The sequence below is a fragment of the Homo sapiens genome, chromosome 12, assembly GCF_000001405.40.
Source record: "Homo sapiens chromosome 12, GRCh38.p14 Primary Assembly".
Lineage (NCBI taxonomy): Eukaryota > Metazoa > Chordata > Mammalia > Primates > Hominidae > Homo > Homo sapiens.
In genome coordinates this window covers 21,596,446-21,605,565 of record NC_000012.12, presented here as the reverse complement: position 1 = coordinate 21,605,565, position 9,120 = coordinate 21,596,446, and the positions used below count along the sequence as shown (strand labels likewise).

The following is a 9,120-nucleotide window of genomic DNA, read 5'->3' as shown; positions in this document are numbered from 1 at the left end:
GGGTGTGTAAATAAATTGGAACATATATATTTACAAACATAGAAACACAAGGGAAAAGCAAACATATGCCATTTATCTGCAGTCTGATCCTGATGATTTTTCTTCCCATGTTTGAACATTTACATTGACTGAATTATTCTTTATCAATTTGATAATATTTGAAGGAAATGTACAAACATGACAAAGATTTATTTTTACTACCTCATTAAAATTATTGACTGATGATTATTGACCAGTCAAAATTATGTTTTTTTTCATGTTACACCCAAAGACATACTCAAATTTATGCTTTTTTATAGGGAAAGTTTTAAGAAAAGTAATTGAGAAAAGGGGGCTCAAGATCTCTGGCTATCACCAAAATTCAATTTGTAAGTGTAGAATAAAATAACTAGGAATATTTTTTAAAAGCTCTAGAAATAGGAATCAAAAGAAAGAAGAATATTTAGGAAATCCAAAGGGATTTAAAGCATAAAAATATGTCCCAATCAGTCTACATGTAATCTAAGGAGGCCTGCAAACTTAATGAGGGGAGTTGCCAATATTGTATCACTTTGGAAATGATGAAATAAGCATTGGTAACTGTATGAATCTAGGAGTCTGGTCAAAAGGACAAGGGCTAAAAGGCTGAACTTGGGTCATGCCCTGCCTATCCCAGGAAGTGCTTACCTATGTCCTGAATCAGAGGGTTTTTCTGTTGACAGCTCTGGATTGTTTGGGTAGATACTGACAGGGCAGATACCGTCCTCACAATACCTGCCCAGAAAGACGAGAAAGAGGAGGAAGAATTCCTCCTTCCACCAGGAATTCTGTGGGAAGCACATAAGATTTCATGCTACTAGTTTATTCCCAAGAGAAGCTACCAAAGCCTGGTAACTCTACCAACTCTAACTTTTGTGCCTGTAAGTTCTCTTCTCCTGGGATTACAACTAATTGAAACAGGAATTCAAAGGAGTCTCGGAGGACTGTAAGAAGAATGCTTCGAGGCCGATCCCTCTCTGTAACATCCCTGGGTGGGCTTCCCCAGTGGGAAGTCGAAGAACTTCCTGTGGAGGAGTTACTGCTCTTTGAAGTTGCTTGGGAAGTGACCAATAAAGGTTTGTACTGCTCCTGAAGGTGGATCAGTACACCTTCACTAGGTGACTGAGGAATGTAGAGTAAGATTTCACAGATAACTCTCTAGTGATAACCAATTGCTAGTGAGTGAGGAAAGCATTTAAACGGAATATATATTTAGGCTACATTTAACCTTGTCTATTACAACAGGCTATGAATACAGACTTGTGTATGTGTTGAAGAGGGAGAAAGTTGAAAATATTAGCCATTGCCATGGAATGTGCATTTAAATTAAAATTTAAAATCCATATTATGACAACATAGAAATAAAAAGTTAATATTTACATTTTTTGTTTTAAAATTTTTCTCAGCAAAATAGTATAATTAAACATTTTATTTTAGGAAGATGTATATGTGATTAGAACCAGTTGGAAACCTCAACTCTACATTCTGTTAGTAATTATATGAAATGCTTAAGAATGTTTCATATTCACAATTAGCTTGGAATTAATGTTTTAATTCAGGAGCTTCTCAAAAGGCAAAATACTGTGCTCCTTTCAGAATGAAAGTAATTTTTTTCTTCAATGCTATGCTTATGTAGGAATTATAAAATAAAGAAAATCAAATTGATAAAACAATTTGCGAGTGAGGTATAACCTCATCTGTGCTGGGTAAGAGAAGGCAAGGTAGAGAACCACAATGTAAATGATTTTGAAAATAAAGACATCTGTAAAATTATAAAACAATTCCTTGTGGGTTTATACTCTCTAGTTTAAAAGTGTCAAGACTATTGAAGGAACATTAGCAAAGAAAAAGTCATGGTTTTGAAGGCTGAGTTCCTCAAGATCTTGAAGAATCAAGCCAACTGATTGCTGGGTAAATGGCAGTGATGACTTGTGTGATTTAAACGATCTGAAATTATGTCATGTGTTGTGATATATAACACATTTATTTTTCATTTTGTGTTTACTATTTCATGTCTATTACAGTAATCTAAAGGATCTGAAATAATAACCAGAATGTGATATATTACTTCCTTCTTTTGGCTAATCAGAGCCAGCATAATCTCAAAATTAAATGCATTATATATGGCATGCATTCTGAAAAATCAGAATTCACCTTATACTAACTGTTCAAAGTTCTCGTGTGTATGCATTCATAAAATCAAAATTAAAAGTCAATTTTGCCTATGTAGAAGTGGACAGAATGCATATAAGAGAACAAAGCACGGTCTTATTCTCTGTAGTTTAGTGAGAAAGAATCTAGGAGGACAGAAACCTTATTACAGAGAAGTGAAGTATTTTATGTGTACCTGTTTCTGTTGTTTCTTTTTAAATTATTTTGTATTCTTTTCCTCAGAGATCTTTATCCTGAAATGAGCATGTGTTTTTAATGTCCTTTTTCTAGTCACAAATTTTTCCAGTCCAGTTTTTAAATATGCCCAAAGTTCCTGGGAACAGAACCATCTCTATCACATGTGAATCCCGGAGTATGCCTTGAAATAAAAGTTTTCTCTAGAGAGTGGGCAGGAGCTCAAGGACATAGCTTATTGGTGGATAAAACTGGAAGGGACTTGTTAGCACTGGGAATCAGTCCAGAAGATCTCTGCACAAGTTCCTGCACCTGAGCAGAGCCCCTTCTGCTTTCCTCTTTTCTCATCATTTAACAAACATTAATGGAGCACTGTTACCTGGGCACTGGGAACACGCCAGTGAAACTAAGTTATTTTATGGATCTTATAATCAGTAGCATGTGTGTTGATCTCAGGGTCTAGAACAGTGCCTGGTACATAGAAAATGCTCAATGGATTTTTTTTTGAAAAAATTTGTTTTTCAACCCCTAAGCTGCCTTTAATACTTATTTTCTATCATTTCCCTTTCAAGGGGAAGGGAAGTGTTTTTGTGGAGAGGTCCCCACAATGTGATTTACACAAGTTGATATCATCTTCAATGTATCTTTATTTTAATATTATCATAGCCTGGTATGGTTTGAGATTTTCATATAGATGGATAATTATTGTGTTTATTCCTAATAATACATTGCCACTATAGTTTCTTTAAATTTAATGATTTGAATTTTTACTTCCCTGCATTTCATAGTAGTGATATGAGGTATCTTAGAGATCATGAATCCCACTCCTCCAGTTCATAGAGCAAATTGATTCGTAGAGGTATTTAATGATCAAGCAAATGGCAGAGTTAGGACCAGGATTTAGGTCTTTTCCAAGGCCAATTCACTTTTTTACTATTATGTAAGAATTAAATATTAAAACCTCAGTTTTCAAAGGAAATGTCCTATAGATGAAAGAACACAGTACTTGCAGTCAAAGGTCTTGGATTTCTGAAACTTTCTGAAAAAGAACCCCTTAAACTGAATAACAGTTTCTTCATGAATAAAATGAATGTTATACTCTCCAGTTATCTTACCATGTTTTCTGGCAAACAAGGAAATGTATTCACATCCAAGAAAACAAAAGGTTTCTTAGGAGAAGAATCCCTTGCTGCCAGAATTTTGCCCATGAACAATGGAAACGTGAAAAACATAACAGATGAGAGAGTCACAGTTAGTTTTGGGTACTAATTCTCAGACTTCAAAATAACCTTTTTAATTTATTAATATTAACCTTGAAATTTATTGCTTTTATTCATTAATCCATTTTATTATTCAGTAAGGATTCATCAAGTGTCTATTAGGTATCAGGCACTGAGAGGCGAGGGAGATAGAGTTAAGAATACAGAACTGATTCTTAATCTTCAAGAATTGACAAATTTGTAGAAGGTAGACATTGAACATACAATACAGTCAAATGTGATGAGTGTGAGACTAAGGGAACCAGGTGTCCTAAGACTATACAGTGTACCGTGGAATGGGGAGTGGTTTCTAACCTAGTTACCTAGAGGTTTGGGAAAAACCTCTCTAATGATGAGATGTTTGAGCTGACACTTGAAGGATAAATAGCTAAAGGGGAGAAAGCGTTCTATGTGAGAGAACTATATATGCCAAGATGCAGAAGTGTTCTCTGTTCGAAGATCTGAGCGGGGCTCAGAGAGGGAAAAGGAGAGGAGTATGAGAGAAGATGGGAGAGACCTGCAGGGACTAGATTGTGAAGCTCAGGGGGAGTTAATAGCCTTAAGGAGTTTTGTCTCCAGGGTATGAACAATGAATGAGGAGTCACTGAAATTCTATCCACAGTAGTGGGAAGTACTAAGTAGTCAGGTATGTTTTGGAAGAAGCACTGTTACCAGTTGAGGGAGAGGAGAGGAGGGAAATTAGACTGTGGTGTGACCCAGGATGGAAAGTTTTGCCCAAATGTGGGGGAAAAATGTTTACTCTCTCCTTTGCCCAGGTCTTACTACAATCATTTCTTCTGCACACACTTGCTCAGAACATTACAAACTCTGGAGAAATTAACATGTTAAGGATATTTAGGATCATTAAAAAAGTTTAATAAATGTTGTCACACATAATGAAAGTTAATTTAAGAATTGTAAAGACTTGAGCGATGTAGTCCCTAAATAAATGCTTCCCTCTTAAAATGGACTAGAAACAATTTGTTTTTGCCTAAGCCAACGTATTGCTGGACATAATTTACCTGCTTCCTCCTCAGTCTTGACACTACACCTCTGAATTACATGGTACAAGTGGCACAGGGAAGAATTCAGAAAACTAGAGTCAAAGTGGTTATGGAAGAAATTATAATAATGAGTCCACTCTTCTAGGACAGGAGTTCTAAAGGTGAGGACTTTGATATAAGTGAACTCAAGGAGTTTCTAAACCTTCAGAAATTATATCTAAAAATTAGGTGCACGTATATAGAAGTACTTTTCTCTGAGAAGAGGACTTCACACTTCCATCAGCTTCCTGAAGGCCCCTGTAATTGCCGTAAAGAACAACTGCTCTAAAGTTTAATACTAGGCTACTCGGCTGTTTTTTGTTAACACAGAAGTTTTCCAAATGGCTTTTCTCTAGAGCAAAATGAAAAGGATCCCATCCTTCCCGAGACCTAACGATGTTTATCTTTCGTGATACTGTTTTTGTTCTTCCTCTTTTTCTCCTACCCCCCACCACTTTTAAAGATCCATCAAGGCCCAGCATGGTGATTCACACCTGTAATCTCAACACTTTTCAAGGCTGAGGTGGGAGAATTGTTTGAGACCAAGAGTTGGATACCAGCCTGGGGAACATAGGGAGACCCTGTTTCTACAGAAATTTAAAAAATTTCTCTAGCTGGCCATGGAGGCTCACACCTGTAGTCCTAGCTACCTGAGAGGCTAAAGCAGGAGGATCAATTGAATCCAGGCGTTCTAGTGAGGCTTCAGTGAGCAAGATTGCACCATTGCACTCCAGCCGGGGTGACAGAGTGAGACCCTGTTTCAAACAAACAAGCAAAAGCAAAAAGATCCATCAATTTGTTGCTCCATTCCTTTACTTACTATCTTGCTGTCTACAGCTAAAGTCAGACTGCATGATTTGGAATTCCAACTCCACCATCACCTGGGTAATGTTGAGATTTATTACATAGCATCTCTGTGCCTCAGTTTCTCCATATATAAAATCTACCTGTAATAATGTTGTGAAAATTAAAAGAAATACCAGTTGTAAATCACTCAGAACTGTGCCTAGCATTTAATAAACACTCTGTAGGTATTAGCTTATTTCTTTATAAAATTTATTCATAAAATGAGGAAGTTAGCTCATGTATTGTCATACCAGCTTTCACTTTGAATGAGTCCATAATTGCATTTTTAAACACAAAAAGAGAAATAATAGGAAAAAATATGTATACATCAATGTTACTTCAATCACGGGATGCATAGTAATTAGGATTTCTTTGCCCTAATTACTGATGTGGATAAGCCGGTGGGCCATGTCAATGGCATCTCAAGCTGTTATCACACCATGTGAAACACACGATCTATGTAAAAACTATGCTTGGTTGCACAGCTTCAAGGAAAGCACTAGTCTACTCACTTCCTTTTCATTCAGCATGCTATGTCTAGGCCCCTTTCATATAAAATATTTGGAGCTGCCATTGTAGGTAGTGCAGGTGGTCTTGTTCAAAGTGTGAGTATCACCTCCCACTGCCAAGACTGCAGCTGCTTTGATTTTAACTGAGGATCTAGAAAAGTGCTGGGAACACAAATATTTGCTGACCTTTGTCACAAGTAGCACCTAATCTCCTTCCTACCAGACCTGCTGCCTTATAAAATGATGTTCTAAGTGTATAATGACTTCCTCTGCTTCTGCAACTGTGTTTTGGAACAGGAGGGTGAGATTAGTAGCCACACACACTGAAATAGTCATATGACTTCCAAAGTCTGTAATTTTTAAGCATATACAAAATAGTGAAATTTCTCCATATGTGTATAATATGTATATATGTGTGTATACATATATATAGAGAGAGAGACAGAGAGAGATGGGGGAGAGAGAGAGAGAGAGCGAGAGAGAGGCAGAGAAAGAGATCCTTATTTTGGCTGATATCTATTCTATACTTCTTTGAAATAGTGATTTTTAGTAAATTGGCAGTGTTGCCAGATGACGACTTAGAGTTTTAACCACCTCATTGTTATATGTACCATGGTAGCTCATCTTTTCTTTCAGGTGAAAGTTGTGATACTTTGTCCTCACGCTAAACATAGCCCCCATGTTGTTCCAGGAAAATAGAGATCAATAAAATACAAAGTACTTGTTTGAAAGTGAAGGTTAAGTTCAAATTCAATGACCTACGCTGTGGTAAAACGATCATTCATTAATGATATTAAGTATTTTCTTTTTTAATGTCAGAATAAAACCATTTATTTGCAGATTTAAAAATATATATGTGTATGTAAATCTCCTTGGTTTATACCTCAAATATGAAAATAGGAATGACCCTGTCTCTATGCTCTTGCATTCACTTATATTCTAGCTTGTTAAGAGAGAAGTTTGGGGCAAAATGTGCTTTATAAATAGTAAAAACTGAGGTAAACTATAGCACAAAGTGTGCTATATAAACAGTAAAAACCGAGGTAAAAATATGGGGAGGACAAAAAAGGGCTAAAATGGTGTTGGAATATAAGAAATAGCAGTAAAAGAAGCTCCTCACAGCAAGACAGTACAGGGAAATGTCTGGAGGGACAAAGATTTACTTACAATCAGGCCTCAACCAATATGAGATCGACTTTCTTTTATTGATATATGACGTGTTTATATGTATCAGGTACATGTGACATTTTGTTACATGCATATAATGTATAATGATCAAGTCAGGTATTTGGGGTATTCATCACCTCAAGTATTTATCGTTTCTATGTGTTAGGAACATTTCAAGACCTTTCTTCTACTATTTTGAAATATACAATATATTGTTTTTAACTATAATCACCCTACTTTGCTATTGAACATCAGAACATATTCCTTCTATCTAACTGCCTGTTTCCATTAACCAACTTCTCTTCGTCTCCCTTCCTCCCATAACGTACACACCTTTCTCTACCTCTGGTTTCTGTCATTCTACTCTCTACCTACATGATATTAACTTTTTTAGCTCCCACATATCAGTGAGAACATGCAAAATTTGTCTTTCTATGCCTGGCTTATTTCGTTTAACATAATGACTTCCAGTTTCATCCATGTTGCTGCAAATGAAATGATTTTATATTTGTATGGTTGAATAATATTCAATTGTGTGTATACACCACATTTTCTTCATTCATCCATTGATGGACACTTAGGTTGATTCCATATCTTTGCTAATGTGAATCGTGCTGCAATAAACAGTGTGGTACCAGTATCTGTTTATTATTCTGAATTCTTTTCCTTTGGATAAATACCCAGTAATAAGATTGCTGGATCTTATGATAGTTCAATTTTTAGCTTTTTGGTAAATCTACATATTGTTTTCCATAGTGGCTATACTAATTTGCATGCTTACCAATAGTGCCTACGAGTGCCTTTTCCTTCACATCCTTGCCAGCATGTGTTATTTATTTATTAATTTATTTAAATCATGATGATTCTAACTGGCATAAGATGATATCTCATTGTGGTTTTGATTTGCATTTCTCTGATGATTAGTAATGTTGAGCAATTTCCCCATACCCATTGTGCATTTGTATGTCTTCTTTTGAAAAATATCCTTTGCCAATTTTTTAATGAGATTATTTGTTTTTCCACTGTTGAGTTGTTTGAGTTTCTTATATATTCTGGAGATTAATTCCTTGTCAAATGTATGCAAATATTTTCTCGCATTCAACAGCTTGTCTCTTCACTGTGTTGATTGTTTCCTTTACTGTGCAGATGTATTTTAGCTTAATATAGTCCCATTTGTCTATTTTTGCTTTTGTTGCCTGTGCTTTTGAGGTCTTGGCCATAAAATCTTTGCCCAAAGCCATGTCTTGAAGTGTCTCCCTTATGTTTTCTTTTAGTAGTTTTATAGTTTTAAGTTTTATATTTAAGTCTTTAATCCATCTTGAGAGTACGTTTTATATGGCAATAAATAGGGGTTGTATTAGGCCATTTTTGCATCTATTGTACAAGGGGTTGAGTTCTTGATTTGATTCTCCATTTGGTTGCTGTTGGTGTATAGAAGAGTTACTGATTTGTGTGCATTCATCTTGTATCTGGAAACTTTGCTGAATTATTTTATCAGTTCTAGGAGCTTTCTGGAGGAGTCTTTAGGGTTTTAAAGGTAAATGATCATATCATCAGCAAACAGTGACAGTTTGACTTCCTCTTTACTGATTTGAATGCCCTTTATTTCTTTGTTTTGTCTGATTGCCCTGGCTAGGACTTCCAGTACTATGTTGAAGAGGAGTGGTGAGAGTGGGCATCCTTGTCTTGTTCCAGTTCTCAGAGGGAATGCTTTCAACTTTTCCCCATTCAATATTATGTTGGCTGTGGGTTTGTCACAGATGGCTTTTATTACACTGAGGTATGTCTCTTGTATGCTGATTTTGCTGAGCATTTTAATCATAAATGTATGCTGGATTTTGTTGAATGCTTTTTCTGCATCTATTGAGATGATCATGTAATTTTTGTTTTTAAATCTGTTTATGTGGTGTATCACACTTATTGACTTGCAGA

At 35.8% G+C, this 9,120-nt stretch overlaps 1 protein-coding gene across 3 annotated transcripts in view; it reads left to right on the top strand.

Annotated features, from left to right (window-relative positions):
• The window catches only part of GYS2 (glycogen synthase 2), a 72,271-nt gene continuing 63,869 nt past the window's right edge, over positions 719–9,120 (top strand). For all 3 annotated transcript variants that reach the window (XM_024448960.2, NM_021957.4, XM_017019245.3), the window contains exon 1: positions 719–1,094. In XM_024448960.2, the coding sequence (XP_024304728.1) occupies positions 974–1,094 (121 nt within the window). In that variant the 5' untranslated portion in view covers positions 719–973. The remainder of the gene's footprint in view (positions 1,095–9,120) is intronic.